The sequence below is a fragment of the Homo sapiens genome, chromosome 12 (genome assembly GCF_000001405.40).
Source record: "Homo sapiens chromosome 12, GRCh38.p14 Primary Assembly".
Classification (NCBI taxonomy): Eukaryota; Metazoa; Chordata; class Mammalia; order Primates; family Hominidae; genus Homo; species Homo sapiens.
Window position 1 is genome coordinate 89608829 of NC_000012.12, and position 18406 is coordinate 89627234.

The following is an 18406-nucleotide window of genomic DNA, read 5'->3' on the forward strand; positions in this document are numbered from 1 at the left end:
GCACTTAATTATTCCATAGACCTCTTCAGCTATGCTTCACATGTCTTCAGAAGCTCCTACCAATGCAGCTGCCAACCATTTAAATTTGGGATGGGGTAGGGCGGGGGATCTTTGGATTCCCTGCTTTTGATTGAGGGAAATTTACCCATAATTTCCTTTCCTCATCTCTCTCACTCCTGTTGAAAGGCTGCCACCATGGTAGATCTTCTAAATTTCCATTTTAGCAGCAAAATATCAGGGGGACAAATTATGCAAATAAACATTTGTACACAAAAACAATCTCTCATCTGAAAACCTTAGGGCCAGACTGTGATTCGGAATTCAGTCTCTCATAGTTTGGAAAGATAATGAGACACATAACCTTATATCTCAATTTTCCCAAAAGAGCTTAGCACCCCATAAAAATCACATTAAAATCTCCACAATGGCTATGAATATTCACACTAAGTAGGACAAATAACAGCCTCACATCAGTTCAGAACAAATTTTGCAATCAAATGAGTCTGCTGCAAAATTTAGGTTAAAAATTTCAGTTTCCTGATAGTTCTAGATTTGAGAATTGTGATTATGAACCAGTATTTTCCAAAAATAAAATGAAACTCAAAGAAAATAAAATACTTAAATTGAGGACTTTGGGGAAAACAAGTAGGTAGGATTTTTTTCAATAAAAAAAGATTATATATAAAATGATGGTATTCAATTACTTTTTAAATAACTGAAGAGTAACTGAGTAGATGAATGGAAGAGTTTCAATTATATTTTTAATTTAAATACACACAACTATTCTAAGCCTGTGTCCTGCATTAAAGGGTTATTAAAAGGTTCAGTTGAGTTGACAGACATTAAAAAATTAACAGAATACAAAGCCAACATACAATATTATTAAATTGCTCAAAAGAAACAATCTAGTCAGATTTCATGACATCAAATAAAGCTAATGCATAAACTAATTAGACTTATAAACCAATTTAAGCTTATTAATTATCCCTCGAACTAATCTTGAGGGACAGTGTTTAAAATCCATAGTAATTTAGTCAACAAACAAACAAACAAACAAACAAACCAGTCAGTAAATTACGTTTGGATATTTGAATGAGTAAATTCTTACCATTGCAAATCCAACATCTGCTTTCTTTAGTGCTGGGCCATCATTTGTACCATCACCAGTTACAGCTACAACCTGGCGTTGGTCTGAGACAGTGCTGTCAATTATACCTTAAATACAAGCAAATATTTGTGTTATAAAAACATTACTCTTTAATAAGATGATTCTGAAGAATATCCTGACGTCGGTTTTATAGACTCAAGGTTAAAAATAAATAAACAAATATAAAAATGGAAATTGCTTAGATGTTGGGTGAGAACCTACTTCAGAAACTATGGGTATATTCAGAGCAATATCCTGTTTTAAACACTTAAGATAATCACTTAACAACACAATTTACCTAAGGTATCAAAGGAAATGTATTTAGATTTTATTAAAACAGATGATATCCATGACTCAATCTAATATTCAGTATCTATTACTATTCTGGGAAGCAGAACACATTTCTGTATTAAGAAATTGTGAAATAACTGAAAAATCTACTTACCTTTAACCAGTGTATGCTTATCAGTAGGAGATGATCTTGCAAGTACTCGAAGTTTTGGCCAAATCTTGTCTATCCTCTCTTGCTCAATCTATAAGTGTTTATCAAAGTTAAAATATGCCCAAACATAGTTTCTTAAATCCTAATGAGCTATCTGGCATATTTATCAGTAGCTCTCAAAGTGTGGTCCACAGAACAATCAGAAACTCCTGGGAACTTGTTAGAAACGTGAATTCTTGGGCATGGACCCAGATCTATCTTAGCGAATACTGTGGGGCAGGCCCAGCAATCTGTGTTTTAATAATCTTGCTAGGTGACTTTGATGCATACTCAAGTTTAAAAGCCACTGTTTTTATATATCATTATGAGACCAAATTTAAAAAATCCCCCTACTGCCTATGAAAATAGAACTTCCTTAATTTAGCATAAGAAGTTCAGAGAGTTTGGGGCCCCCTAAAATATGCTCCATATCAGCCTTTCCAACTCATCTCCCATTACTCCCTTATACATACTGTACTTCTGAAATTGGCCTAGATTCACTGCTGCTACTTTTATATAGCATTCATAGCAAGAAATGCTTACTCCCTTTAGTACCAATTTATTACTTCTCTCTTTTATCCCTTAGAACACTAGTATTTTGCTTCCTAAGGTATAGACTGCATTTATTTCATGCATGGTGCCTAACACAGTGCATATTCAATATGTGTTTGTTGAGTTAAATTCCTAATATATTAAACATCTGTCAACCAAAAACAAAATAATAATAAATCTTTACCTCTCCTTTTTCATTTCGTATTCTTCTGTTAAAATCTTTACCTTCTAGGCACAGAAAATCTTCCCCAGGATGTAAAATACCACATTTGGTAGCAATGGCCCGAGCAGTATTAATATTATCACCAGTGACCATCCGCACAGTAATTCCAGCCCTCTGACACTTTTTAATTGCATCTGGCACCTGGTTTACATTAAAAAAAAAAATTACAAAGTTAATTTGGTATTTTTAGAAGGAAAAATATTTCACTGCACACGACTGCATTAATTTATAGTCCCCCAAATGATGACAATGATACAATGACTTAATAATGATTGATTTCATTTCCAATACTCAACATTTCTTGCACTATTTTCAATAATCTCTTTCCAATTCCACTGCCAGACTTAGCTCAGGCTTCGTTTTCAGTTGTCATCTACTAATTTGTTTGCAGTATTTATTTACAGAAGGCTTTTTAAAGCACCATTTCCCCAGGCAACCATTAGGCAATTCTTTTCTGGTTGGCTTTCTACCCTTCTGGTTTTACTACCCAGATTACATGAGTAAAATGTTGGTATTCTTTTGTTTAGGGTTAAGGGTGGCTCACAATCCATATCTTTTAAGTGTTACCTTACCTATTCCCATACCTTCAATTTCCATCTAATTCCATCATATTCTAATGACTTTAGAATCCACATCCTGCCCCTACCTCACTGTAAGAGGAGAGTCATAGTTCCACCTGTAAAGTGGGTATCGATTCAGGTGTCTAAAAGTGAAACCATGTTTCCTTTACCTGTCTAGCAGAAACCTAAGAGTCACCTGTACCTCTTCTTTCAGCTCTCTTATCCTACATCCTTAGAAGCCAGTAAGTCCTGTGGATTCTACCTCAAACTTGCCCTGCATCATGTCTCTGTTGCTTGTTGCCCAACCTACTGCAATGGCTTTTTATAAGGTACCCTGCCTTTAAGTTTGTTCCTCCTTTAAAACATATGATATACTTGATGGTAGAGTTTTTTATTTTTTAAGCAGAAATACACTTTCTTAAAATATACGATGATTCCTCAGCTGTTATACACAAACCACAAAGTTCTCAGTATAACACAATCAGTGTTTGTGCCTGTGCTACTACAGTTCCTTTCACCTAGAAAATCTTTTCCTGCTTTTCTGTAACCAGAAAATCCACACGGATCCTACTGGAGCAGGGGTTGCAAATTAAAATGCCTAAAGGATCACGGAGGTAACATACATGAAGAAAATATGCTGAAAATGACAAACCCCCGAGACAAATGCCTAATGAAAGAGCTATTTAGCTCTAGCCTATTTCTGCCATGATGGAATGAGACCCCAGTGTTAACAGAACCTGTAACTGCAAAAGAAAGAAACAGAGATTTGTGCGTAATCTCTTCATACTTAATGTTTCTAACTCCCCCCGCCCAACAAAGATAACTTGACTGAAGGCTAACTTTGAACTGCAGCCTAGCTGTTTGTGAAGTCTATCCTAAATCCAGTGTAAATCTAACTTATCTGGAGCTTTCTTGGTCTACCTAGACAAAACTGCACCTTCATCTTATACATACCTCTATTACAGATCATTAAGTCATACTATAGTTATTGTTTACCTGAATCTTCAATGAGCTTCTTGAAGGTAGGACCTTTACCTTATCTTTGCATCACCAACACCTAGTATACCTTTTGTTCATTTAACAAATAAGCACCAGGCATGTAACTGGAGCTAAGTATTTACTGAACTGCTGAATTAAATATCTTTGGGATAATAGCAAGGTACATTTTTTAAGGGGTGCACATTCCAGACAAGGTACTTTTTTTTTTAAGATGGGTCTCACTCCATCACCCAGGATAAAGTGCAGGGGTATAATGTTGATTCACTGCAACCTCTGCCTCCCAGGCTCAAGTGATCCTCCCACCTCAGCCTCCTGAGTAGCTGGGATCACAGGTACACGCCACCATGCACAGCTAATTTTTTGTATTTTTGGTAGAGATGGGGTTTCACCATGTTGCCCAGACTGGTCTTGAACTCCTGAGCTCAGGCGATCCGTCTGCCTCAGCCTCCCAAAGTAATGGGATTATAGGTGTGAGCCACCATGCCCGGCCCAGGGTACCATGTTTTAAAACATGTATGCAATGTAATTAATTGCAATTTAAATACATATTTATCTATAAGTTTTAAGATTTACATCATAAAAGTTATTTCCCTCTACCCAGTCAACTCTTAGTGATTCAAATCATTGGAGGGGGACATCACGTGCATTTACTCAAACTAATATTTACTGAATGCCAGGCACTGTGCTTAGGTCCTAGTGCCAGAGTGATGAGCAAAAGGACAGGGCCTGCTTAGATTATTTTTTCAAAAAAATCAATATTTGACACTAAAAACACTTGTCTGTTTTATAAATGTATATATCTCCTGTTATCTCATTTGAGATAAAATCTATCTTAAATTTTTGTATCTAAGCAGTCCTTGATTAGGTAGTATCCCAGGATCATCTGGACAGGGAAACAATGAGTAAAAGGGAGAAATTGGTCTCAGGTTAAAACTATGTGGCAAATAATACATAAGAAAGGCACACTAACATTTATTAACTGCCTACTAGTCACCAGATGCTTTCAGCTTAAAACTTACAAACTATCTCTACTTTTACATATAAGAAACTAAAGCAAGGCCAAGTACTTATACATATGTAATAAAAACTGGATTTGTTCTAGACATCTAATTATTCAAGAATCCCTCCACCAGAATTGCACTGTACAAAATAAACTCAGAGAAAACTGTTTCATATTACATCGTCTCAATTTAGTATATAAATACCCATCTCATTTTGTGATACTGAAAAACAAGTGCCATTTACATGCTTTAAAAAAGATAAAACTCTCCATCAACTGCAATGCCAAGAGCATGATAATAGACTGATGTCTTCCAAAGAATGAAAGTTGCAGATACCCTGATTTCATGTTAAAGTTTAAACCGTAAGTCAATGTATAGAACTTTGAAAAGCCAGGCACAGTGGTGCATGCCTGTAATTACAGCTATTCAGGAGGCTGAGGTGGGAGGCTGCTTGAGGCCAGGAGTTTGAGGCTGCAGTGCACCATGATCTCCTGCCTGTGAAAAGCCACTGTACTCCAGCCTGGGCAACATAGGAAGACTCCTTCCTTAAAGAAAACAAAAACAAGACAAAATAAAAAAACAACCTTTGAATGATTCTCCTGTGACCACATGGCAAACATTACCCACCTGGCTATTTTATAAGCATTTGAAATTACAAAACCCCAAACCAAATTTATCTTAATCTCTCAACAGGCTGCTGTTTCTGGTTCTCTTATTACATTGGTAACCCTCTATCAGCCACCAAGTTACAGACTGGTTCTCTAACTTGTACAGAGATGGTTAGCGACCATCTCCTTTATAAGACTTCTAATTGTGGCAACCTCTTAGTCATAAAAGCCTTCTTCCCTAGCTACACACTTTCTCTAAATATCTTTAGTTTCATCAGTGATTTCTTCAGACTAGCCCACTTTCAGGCTCTGAGGTCCAAATGCTTGACATACATTTGGATGTCTCAGACACCTCAACAATGTCAAAAACAGCGTATCCAAACCCAACATATTACTTCCTACTGGTTCTATCTCCACTTACTTTGAAATCATTCTTTTCTTTCCATCTCCTATGCCACAACTGTGGGCCAAGCCATGATCATCTCTTGCCTGGGATCACTGCAATAATCTCATTAGCTTCCCTGCTTCTACTCTTCTTCATCTCTAATCCCTGTCTTACACGTACCCAAAATAGTATTTTAACAACATAAATCATGTCACTTCCCAGCCTGAATTTCAGAAAATTCAGAGTCCTCACAGCCCAGTAAGGCCAGAGATCATCTCGTCTCCCCTTTCTTCTTTACATTTATAGCCACACTGGCCTCTTTTCCACCTTTAAAATAGCTACTTTTCTCACTTTCACTTGCATTTCTCGTTTTGCTTGGAATGCTCTTCTTGCAGCTATTTACATGGCAGACCCACTATGAACCATCAGATTGCAACTCAAATGCCACATCCTCAGAAATTCTTAATGCAGTCTCTCTCCATTACTTTATTTCATTACACCGTGCATATCTTATATAGCCCTTCTGCACTTGTAATTGTCTTATTTAATATCATCCCCCCTGATATGCCACCCTGCCACCCAGAATATCTTAAGGCCTATGAGAACAGGGACCAAGTCTTATTCCTCCCAGAATTCATTTTTCACTTGACATGGTGTCCATGTATCTATCATTCTACCTACTTAGCTGTCTTCTTCCTCTAGAATATAAATCTCAAGCCTATTCTGGTCACTGCAGTATTTCCAGCTCCTAAAAGAGTGCTACACATTAGGTTTTGAATCAATTAGCTGATAAAGTCACTGAACAAAAGTGGTTTTCTGTTAGTGCTTTTATTTATGTTGCTTCTTTGCTCAGAATATACCTAACTGCTCGCTCTCTTTCTTGGTTTAGATAATACTTCCTCCTTCTTTAAGAATCAGATCAGGTAATTAACCTCTAGGAAGTCTTACCTGACCCCTCCAGTGGTCAATACAGTACAGTAGTCTTTTAAGCACATGTGTTTTAGACAAAGCTGGTATTTTAACACACTAGGTCTATGCTCTATACATTCTCGATTTTTTAAAAATGTATTTTTAAACATGTCTAACGCTCTATACATTTTTGATTCTTAAAAATCTGCCAAATAAGAGTAATAATATGCATACCTCATAAAGGTAGACATTTAAAAAAATTACTTGTAAAACACATGGCTTAAGTATATGGCACACAGTGAGAACTCAATAAAAAGATGCTATTAGGCTAGGTTGGGAACTCGTGTTCTCTGCTCATATAACATGCTCTGTATATACCCAGCAAGGTAGTAATATCTTGGGTTGCAATAATCACGTGTTTGGTTCGTCCCACATAAGACAGTAACTTCTTTGAGGCCGGTGATCAGATCTCAAAACTCTTAAGTCTCTAGTACCTTAGGATAGTGCCTGGCACACAGTAGTTGTTCAACAAACTTAAAAAAGGTGAAAAACCAAATAGCAAAAAAAAATTAAAGAGGGAAATCAGTCTAGAGCTGCATGCCATCCAATATGACAACTACTAGCAAGATATTTTAATTTGAATTAAATAAAATTTAAAAATCCTGTCTTTTAGTTGCACTAGCCACTGAAAACTAGAAGTCAGTATTCACACATGGCTAGTGGCTACTGTACTAAACAATATACAGAACATTCCTATTATCACAGAAAGCTCTACTAGACAATGCTAGTCTAGAGACTGTGAAAACAAATAATGGCACCTATTATTTAATTTAAGATAAATAATAACTGAAAATTCTACCCACTTCAAGGCACTGTGCTAGGTTATGGTGCTATGAACACATAGGATCCCAAAGAGACACTGTCTTTAAAAACCATAAAAGCTAGCATATGCACTGTAGGTACTATTATTTCATTTATCTTGGGTTCACACAGAAAAAAAAAAAATCACAAACACCAAGAATTTTACTAGAAAACTGGTTACAATTAAGGCCTAGGTCCTCTATAGTTATGAGATTCTGCACATGCAGAACACAGAATGTTTCACCACCTCAGGTCTCACAGGATCTTCAATCCCCACAACAGCAATGCATGTAAGGCCGGTGACAATATCATTTTCATTATCCCACTCTGGTTCTGGTTCTCCTGCTGGAAAATCTCTGAATGCAAGACATATGGTTCTCAAGCCTTCTGATGCCATCGGTTCAATCACAGTTTTTACAATATCATCACGGTCCCTTGGTCTGAATACTTTTGCCTCACCATTAGCACTCAAGATTTTGAAACACCTAAAAGGAAATGTTGAATCCAAACATCAATAATTTAAAAAAATAATGGTTAATGCCATTTAAGTGAACTGGCAGGCCTAGAAATCATGGGATCTGATATCTGGAATTTAGAGAATTACATATAATTCATTTTTATAGACTTAAATTCACTTTTCACCCTCCCTTTTACAAAACAGAACTAATATGTATGGTTCTCATTTGACAGTTCTCCATTTATCAATTACTCTAGAACTTCTCTAAACCTTGTCTTTTGGAAATGCAGTGCTTTCAAACTTTCATAAAGAATCCCTGGGTGGCAAAGGAGAATAAACTATATACTTCACCATTTTGGTACAGAATCAGACATTAGTTTGAAATAATACCAAAATCACAAATGTTTTCTTCTTTTAAGGTAAAAAGCCAAGCGTAGTCAACCCCTTACCTGAGATGTTGTTTCATCACCTATATTGTTTTAACCATGAAAGAAAAAAAATAACTTATTGTTAAAATAAGCATTCTATCAGAATGAGAGTTAATGCCAAAAGTTATTTTCAGTGACACTACTACCTTTTCTTTCATTACATAATGAATAAAAATCATACTATATACCTATTTAAAGTTTGTTTTTCATAATGCCTCTCTATACTCCTCTCCCTTGATGATGCCATCTCTTCCTGCTTCTAGGGAGGTAATTCCCAAATCCACATCTTCTGTTTTGTTTTTCAAAGCTTTCCATCACTGCTGAAAAATTCTACCCAGATGTTTTATCAGTACCTAAACCTTAATGGATGAAAGACTGGAAGCTGCCTCTTCACTGCCCATGTAATGTGCATCAACATTACCCTAATCATTTTGATGTAAGTCTAAAATTTCACCTTAATACTTATTTTTCCTGATCATCTCTCTACTATTAGCTCCTAAGTCCTATACATTTCTCCTCTGAACAGCCTCCTCAATGTGTCCACTCCTTTTTATTTCTCCTGCTACTACTTTCTTCTGGTTCTTACTTCAAGCTACAAAGCTACAGCTATTGTAATAGCAATAGCCTTTTAACTGATATGTCTCTAGTTGATTTTTTTTTTCCCTCTAACCCACCTTGTTCCCTGATGCAAGAATTATCTTTAATCACAGCTTTGATGATTCTACTACTTGAAGAAAAAAATACCTCATTTGCATTATCTGGCTTACTTCAATTTTAACTGCTCAGCCCAACATTTAAAAAGTCTCCACAACAAAATGCAAATATTACTGTGGGAACACTTGCTGTATGTTTACTGTCCACCAGGCTTCACACTAGACAGTTGGTATGCATTACTTCATTTAAGTGCCACAGAGTTGGTGGTCATCACCCGCTTTCTCAGATGAGAAAAATGGAAGTAAGGGAAAAATCTGCCCCATATCCAGAAGCTAGTTAGTTGCAGAGAAAGAGTCAATGCCTGATCAGTTTTGACTAAAAAAAATTCTCTCCTAAACCATCTATCTACTACCCAGCAAGCCAGGGTTGAAACAGATTTCTAACCTTTTCAATGAAATCAGGTAACTGAGTGTACTGTGGCAAGAAGAAAGCTGTATATGGCCTGTGTGCCACAAAAGCCCATCACTATTCAGCTGAACTATACAACCAGATATTCCCCTCCCCAGTATGACCTGCATATTCTCATCTCCTTTCCTCTGCTGTGGTTTCCCCACCTCGAAGTTCTCATTTCATACCAAAATCTATCTTAAATGCCACATCCCTACAGTGTGATCTCTCACCCAAAAACTTTGTACCAATTTATTATATGCTGCCTTCAGTTATTTATTTATATATTTGTCTCTTAAACTAATTGTAAAGTGTTCATTAATACTGGCTTATAATCCACATGTAAGCAAATTAAAAGTATATCTTAAACATTTACTTTAATATTTTAAATATTATAATTTCAAATGAGTTCCAATTTTCCCAACTTGCTCTTAACCAGTATTTTTTTTTAACCAGTTCTCTACTTCTTTAATGAAATTAAAGAAACTAAAATAATTTCACCACCTTTAATAACAAATAAACATCAGGGAAATTATATGTGAACATGTAATAACAAAATTAAAGCTACTGATCTGTAAAAGGACAGTAAGAAAAATTAGTATTCAAAATGACAGGAGATATTTAAATACGACACTGCAGCAGCATAAACATGATAAATCTCATTTTGATATAAATGGGGAATTTCCAAGATCCAGCTTTTATGCTTTGCTATTCTAAAAATTACTTCATAATTCTCTTATCACATTCAGAGTCCAGTAACCACAATGAGCGTTGAAGATCTAAACTTGAGGCCAGGTGCAGTGACTCACGTCTGTAATCCCAGCACTTTGGGAGGCCGACACAGGCAGATTACTTGAGGTCAGGAGTTCAAGACCAGCCTGGCCAACATGGTGAAACCCTGACTCTACTAAAAATACAAAAATTAGCCAGGCGTGGTGGCAGGTGCCTGTAATCCCAGTTACTTGGGAGGCTGAGGCAGGAGAATCCCTTGAACCCAGGGGCGGAGGGTGAAGTGAGCTGAGATCGCGCCACTGCACTCCAGCCTGGGTGATACAGGGAAACTCCACCTTAAACAAATAAAAAAAAAAAAAAAAAGAAAGAAAGAAAGACATAAACTTGATTTTCTTCCCAGGAGGCTTTTCAAGATTCTGCATATTAAATAACAAGTAAATCGACTTCTAAAAATAAACATCAAAGTATACTTCATTAAACATACCAGATTGAATGTAATGAGCTTATTTTCCCTATAACAAAATGCTAAGAAATAAGAGAAGCTAGAGTGTGAAAATGGCAGAATAGCAGGGGCAAATATCTGGATACCATAAAATATGCTAAAAAACTCTGAGGTCCTATCAAATGCCTGATGTTCACAAAAAGACAACAACAATAACAACACAGTAGATACTCCATAAAGCAACTATAGTCAGCAATTTATTCATCCAAGCATTTTACTCTTACTTTTTCAGAATTATCTCAGATGCACCCTTGCTGAATATTCGATAACTTCCATCTGAATTTTTCAGGACAGTACTCATGGACTTCCTAACAGAATTGAAGGTGTAGACTTTGTACAGTGCTTCTTCTGGTATTTCATTTCTAACATCCTGATAATCCCGTTTTAAATCCAAAAGAAGTCCCAACAAGGCACATTCAGTTTTATTACCAACGTGACGAGGTAATCCACCCTCTTTCTCTGGTGGCTATAAGAGAAAAACATTTAGTAGCTAGTATCTCGTTTCTCTAAGAACGTTTAATTTATAATGTAAAACAGACTGCGATATTCTAAAATAAAATTACAAAGCAATTGTCTAATATCAACATTTTAAAGAAGGATATAGAAAAGTAAGGTAGAAAGGAGCCTGGGGTGAGAATGACATGGATTCTAATCTCAGTCCTGCCAGTTACTAGCTACGTGAAATTTGACAATTACCCAACTGCTTTGGTCCTTGGCTTCAGCATCTGTAAAATAGGAGCACTTATGACCCCAAAATTAAGTGATATAAGATGTATGAAGTTTATAGTTGGTTCCTAATACAGAGTGGAACTTAATTTTAATTTCCTTTTCCTGTTTTCACTTAACTTTTATACTAAATCATTCAAAATTAAATCTACCAATTTTTATGGCTTAAAAGTACATTCATTAAAATACTGTTCTCTTAAATGCAGTGAGAAGCTTCAATTCCTTCATAGTGCCTTCAGAAATACCACTTTACATAATTATCACAATGGTATTAAGGGCAGATGTGATCATCTTTACTCAGTAATTAAAGAAGGTAGCTCAGACTTTCAGCTAGTAAAAGGCAAAGCTAGATCTAGAACCAAGATCCCATAACTTTCCAATGTAATCATCCAATTCATGTATGTTTTCCCTAATGAACAGCTTGCAATATTATTTTTGTTAATGATTTTCATCCATAAATCACTAGAAGAGATTAAGTCAAACATAACATCGCATTCTTTCTGTTATAAATAAGATTTTTAAAACTTGTAAGTTGAAAATTTTTTATTATATGGTGGCACAAGTCTAGAATTACTTTACTGCATTAGTTCTAAAAAGGTCTAAGGACCACCTTTTAGGTAGGAACTACTGAGAAACCAAACAGAACACATGGCAACCATATATAAAACATGTTATTTTAAGTTGAAATCGGCTTAAAAATTTTCTGTAAGTTGAGAGCTGACCTCCTATAGTAAGACAGTTTGATCTTTCTCAAAAATGAGCTTAACAAGAATTTAAAATTAAATACATGCTCTGGTTATAAGGCTGGAGAGTTTCTGAACACAGGAAATTCAAAATATAGGAGAAAAATGTAAGCAAACAATGTTTATGTTGATCAGCAGACCTCACTCATAACACAAATTTAAAAACCATTATATAAATAAATATATGCCTTTTAAAAACTTAACAGTTCAGTTTACATACAGTAATGGTGGTCTGAAGACTTACATATAGTCTGATCATTATAGATTTAAAAATTAATTTTCATAAATTATTTCAAAAACCTTACCAATATTTTTGATGTATAAGCACAATTCACAGAAATTCCTGTTACAAGATAGGACAAAATATTTGGTGGAATAGCTTCTGGTTCAGGAACCTTTTTATAATGTTTTTCATTTATGTAAGCTTGAACGACTGTCATTCTGTTCATTGTCAAAGTTCCTGTTTTATCTGAACAAATAGCTGTAGCATTTCCCATGGTTTCACAAGCATCCAGATGCCTTACTAAGTTATTATCTTTCATCATTTTCTACAGTGACCAAAAAAAAAAAACTAGTTAAGCTGCATATAAAACCAATCACCTCATTACATTAAAATGATTATAAATTGTTTTAAAATTAGAAAACTCCCAGCTTTCTATAAATACAATGTATAAAGTACCAATGTAATACTGAAATTTTTTTTTTTTTAGCATATTTGACCTATTAAAATAAGCTAAACACAGTACCAGAGCTTTCTGGGGTTTCAATCATTTTATTGCTGCATAACATAACCTAGTGAATCAATTCAGGTACCTACATCCGTACACAAATAATACTGAATATATGTCTCCAACGGTTTTTGCAAAATGTCCTCACATTGCAAGAGCAATGACAATCTGTACTGTTAAGTACAGTGGTACTTATAGTAGTGTAAGAGTATATTAAAGGATTAAGCCTCCTTATTAAGTGGAAAACAAAAGATTCTTACATCAGTGCCAAGGAAAAAATAGCCTTTAGCAGCTAAAATAAAGAGCTTGTGGGTATGTAGTTGCTTGATTTTTTTTTATTATTAACTCTGATAGAGTTAACATATCAAAACTAGAATGAGTCATTTTTTAGCTATTCTATATGCTGGCAGACTTGGCATTTTCATCCTTAGCATCAAACTGCATCTCACTTCTTTCTCTCATTTACAACAGAAAAAATCATTTCTAAAAAACCAACAGTTTTCACAGTAGTCTCACAGGGCATTTAAGTTAAAATACCTTATAATTAGTTCTCAGCACTTAATGTGGAATGGGTTAAAAACTATATGGAGTTATTTTACAAAGTGTTTTTTGTGATGACTAATTTGCAAGATACTGCAAAAAAACTGGTTCCTTGAAAAAATATGTGAAAAACGGATGTGTATTTCCTAAATTACTTGTGATTTACATATTAAAGATTAGAAAAATGAAGTTCTGCAGTAAAGAAACCATGTTCAGTTTTGTGAAACACTAACAGAGAATCCATAAAGACTATACCTCTGTGAAAAGAACAGTAATTGGTAACAGAGCTAGATAAACATCTAATAAAGGCTTAAAAAAGTAGTTAACTTGTTCTTATTAATTTTCTATTCAAAAAGCATAAGTCAATCCTACCAGTATCTTTCTAATCAATTGAAAAATTAGTATCATTAATGACTACTCAAAATGAACTAATGGCAGTTCGGTAAAATGACTGTTCTATGTGTCCAAAACTTGTATTTACCCCAAATATTTCAAATTACTTTAAAATATCAAAAAAGGACAGATAGATGATTATACTGTATCTTATCACTTTGATACATTTACTTTATTTTTGAAATGAAAGTTGTTAAATGCCTGAAAAGAAAATAAACTCAAACAGTAAGCAAAAAAAATTCTTATCAAGACAGGTCTAATAATGAAGAGTGCAAAGGTAGAAACGATGACTAATTAATTAATATTGCTCACTGTCAGCAGTGTTTCTTAAAGAGAACTAGTAATTAACATTTGAAAATTTACAAAAGCAGCATTCTTTGTTTGGTTATAATTTTTTACCTGCAAGATCATTTTGAAAAAAAAAAAGTTCAAAATTGTCCAAGCTACATCTTTTTTTTTTTTATTTCCAATCCACCTTTTCCGTAAGATAGAAAATTGATAAAAATAAATTAATAATCTTCAAAAGGATTATTACTTTAAGGTAAACAGCAGTAAGCAAAGCCATCAAAGCTCATTTCTTAGCATTCTACTTGGAAAACAAGAAGGACTGAGCTACTGTAAATCAAGTGGTCAGAGGAAGGTGACATTTGAAGAGACCTGAATAAAGAAAGAGAGCAGGTTACTCAAAGGAAGGAACAAGTGGGCTCTGAAGTAAGAATACAGTTGAGATGTTTGAAAATCATCAGGAAGGCTGGTGAGACTGGGCCAAAGGAGAAGGGAATTGAGCACTGAGAGGTAAGCAAAGGCCAGACTGGCAGGGCCCTGCAGGCCATGGTAAGGAGTTTGCATTTTACTCTAATTGTCATGAGAACTGACTGAAAGGTTTTACACATGGAAATCATAATTTTTAACTTTTTTTTTAATTTTTAGAAACATTAGCCTAACACGCTCACCTTAATTTTACAGACGGGAAAGAGGAGGTGACATGACTTGACAATATAACTATCACGTAGAGAAAATTATGCTAGAACTTTGCCCAGCAGAGTCGTGCTTAGTATTGTGTCAAGGCTGCCCTATGTGGAATGCACAGGTCTCCTTCAGAGATATTCAACTGGTGGGAGGTACAGGGCATCAATGACAACATTTCTAGAGAAAATAGTGTACATTTATATGAAAGTCCTCACTTTCAGAAGCAGAAAAGGAGTAACTAGATGGGCATTTTCTATACCAGCTAAGGCTTTAAACATAACAACGTCTACTGAACTATTTTCTACTTACTTTGACTGAATAAGCCAGTGAGATCGTGACTGCAAGTGGAAGACCTTCTGGCACTGCGACCACTAAAACTGTAACTCCAATAATGAAGAACTTCACAAAGTATTGTATATAAATTGGTGTGCACTCAGCAAGCCATGGTCTTTTCTGAACCCAGAAGGTGTCAATGACAAAATATAATACTAGAATGATAACTGTGATGGCAGACATCAACAGACCTTTCAGAATAGAAATGAAAGAAAAATGTGATTATTAAATTTCCAGACACTAACCCTTGCCAGATATAAATTAAACACTGTAAAGAGTTATAACTTGCTTGATAGTATTGAATTTCTCTGAGAAATTACTTCTTTCTTGCACCTTATAACTTGACATTGTCAGATTTAATTTTTTGCTTCCAAGTACAGTCTTGTCCCCAGGAGAACTGGGAGAAAAACACTTAGGATTCTTTCTTAGACTTAATTATATCTTTGGCCTTGTACTGAAACTAAGACAAAATAATACGCAATGATAAGGAAGTATCCAAAGCTTAGAATAAACTGGTGCTTTATATGTTCAAGAGGCAAGCTCCCTGATGCTTAAAGAGAAACTGGTAAAAATCTCATCAATGGGGAGACCTCGAATTAAATACTCAACCCATGTTTTAAAAAAATAACATTATAATAAATAAAATTATATAACACAAAGTATTATTTCTTCAATTTTTTTGCTCTATCCTTACTGTTTCATTAACTTAGTAAACCAAGAGTTAACCATGTATCTTGTGGGATACTCTGCTCTTTGACATATGTATTAAAAAATAGGGCAGCTGGCTGGGCGCAGTGGCTCACGCCTGTAATCCCCAGCACTTTGGGAAGTCGAGGTGGGTGGATCACCTGAGGTCAGGAATTCGAGACCAGCCAAACATGGTGAAACCCCATCTCTACCAAAAATACAAAAATTAGCTGGGCATGGTGGTGCGTGCCTGTAATACCAGCTACTCAGGCTGAGGCAGGAGAATCGCCTGAACCCAGGAGGCAGAGGTTGCAGTGAGCCGAGATCGCACCACTGCACTCCAGCCTGGGTGACAGAGCAAGACTCTGTCTCCCACCCTCAACACCCCCCGCCCCCAAAAATAGAGGCAGCTGGGCGCAGTGGCTCACGCCTGTAATCCCAGCACTTTGGGAAGCTAAGGTGGGAGGATCACTTGAGCCTAGGCATTTGAGACCAGCCTGGCCAACACGGTGAAACCCCGTCTCTACTAAAAATACAAAAATCAGCCGGGTGTAGTGGCGTGCATCTGTAGTCCCAGCTACTTCGGGGGTGGAGGCAGGAGGATAACCTGAGCCTTGGGATGTGGAGGGTTCAGTGAGCTGTGATCATGCCACTGTATTCCAGCCTGGCTGACAGAGTGAGACCCTGTCTCAAAAAAAAAAAAAAAAAAAAGAAAAGAAAAGAAAAAAAGAAAAAAAAAGGTGTAAGTCCACATATCTGGTTCTAACATCCCAATCTAATGTCTACTAAGTGGATTTACCACCTCAAATCCACCTTTTCCCCCAACACTACATGAGTCAGCATTACCACTTGGCTACATATTACAAAGAGCAAATATTTGCTATTAGATAATAAGTGTACTGAGGACAGAAGCAAAAACGTCACTTTTTCCATCATACTCCTAGAGAGCAGTAAAATGATGCAATTTAAGCAATTTTAATAATATATGCTTATTTATCCACACAGTGTTCTTCCAAAAAGATGCTACCGCTGGAGGTCATGCTGTTTCTAACCTCAGAGCTCTGCTTTTTCCCTTAAAGAATGGCTGTATTAACAGGTATTTTCTAGTGATGGCAGTAATATAGAAACTTCAGCCGCACTACAACGACTCCATTCAGTGCAGAACTTTAACATTAGAGACATAACTAAAAATTCCCATAACCAGTAAAAAGATGAGCAAAATGTGTGATGAAATTTTATTAAAATATAATTAGTTCATCTTTACTAAATAACCTCACAGGTTGCCTTTTCTCCACTTAATGCAGAAATTCAGAGATGAGTGCACAGGCTTGTAACTGGACAGACTTAGGCACTAATCCTAACCCGACCACTTATTAGCAAATTATAAGTACCTATAGTAACTCAAAGGGCCTGGTGCATTGTAGCTAGAACTGAAAATATTTCAAACTCCCCTTCTATTCACAAAGCAACAATTTCCAGCCTTAAGTGTGTCAAAAGACAATTTTTAAGCAGAAAGCATACTTAAAAATAAAACACTTTATTTTCTTCTCTATATCATACCTGCTTTGCCAATCTGAACAGCCAGTTTTGTAAGTTTCCCTTGTAAAACAGATTTTTCCTTTTTTGGCAAATTTGCTTTCTTTTTATCTTTTTCATCACCATCTCCACCTTCTTCACTCTTCAATGGCTGCATTTCCATGGCTGCACCATCCTGGGCTTTTGCTACATTTAAGAGCAAATAGAACTTCACTATACTTTAAAGGCACATATCACTATTAACATTTTAAAGAAATTTTAAAAATCAGTTTCTTACAGAAACCAGTAAAGGTATAAGCATTCAGCTTTGTGAGTGTGTGTGTGTGTCTACACAGAGAAAATAAGACAATAGTGACGTTAGGTTGTGAAACTTTGTACCATATTTGAAAATGTTGTGCTAGGTAATGAGGATGAGGCATACAGGGTCCTTAAACTGAGAACTAAAGAATACTAAATTTCTTTTCCTGTGTGTTATGTTAGGTAACATCTAAACAACATAATCCCTCCCCTATAATTTATGACCATAATGTAGAGATTATGTATAACCATATGCATATAGAAATATGCATATATGACTCTTAAATAAATGCAGTAACATTTATGCTATATATTTTGTTTCTTATGCATTTTTGCTACTAACTATATAATAACCAGCGTTCAAATACTTGAAATACTTAAGTTGAGTCAATCTACATAAATTTACCCTAATCCGAAAATCTAAAATACCTCAAAATCTGAAACTTTTTGAGCACTGACATGACACAAGTGGAAAATTCCACACCTGATCTCCTGTGATGCGGAATAG

At 35.6% G+C, this 18406-nt stretch overlaps 1 protein-coding gene across 45 annotated transcripts in view; it reads right to left on the bottom strand.

The window, feature by feature from the left end:
• ATP2B1 (ATPase plasma membrane Ca2+ transporting 1) overlaps positions 1-18406 on the bottom strand; it is a 121318-nt gene that overhangs the window by 20780 nt on the left and 82132 nt on the right. For 43 of the 45 annotated variants that reach the window (NR_182094.1, NR_182093.1, NR_182095.1 and 40 more), the window contains 8 exons: positions 17626-17787; positions 15355-15569; positions 12721-12963; positions 11171-11412; positions 7974-8211; positions 2365-2544; positions 1593-1680; positions 1109-1215 (listed from right to left, as the gene is read on the bottom strand). Coding sequence is in view for 42 of the 45 variants with exons in the window: in NM_001413053.1 (NP_001399982.1) it covers positions 1109-1215; positions 1593-1680; positions 2365-2544; positions 7974-8211; positions 11171-11412; positions 12721-12963; positions 15355-15569; positions 17626-17787 (1475 nt within the window). In the remaining 3 variants the exon portion in view is untranslated. The other 2 variants (NM_001413054.1, XM_047428900.1) reach the window with 2 other exon arrangements.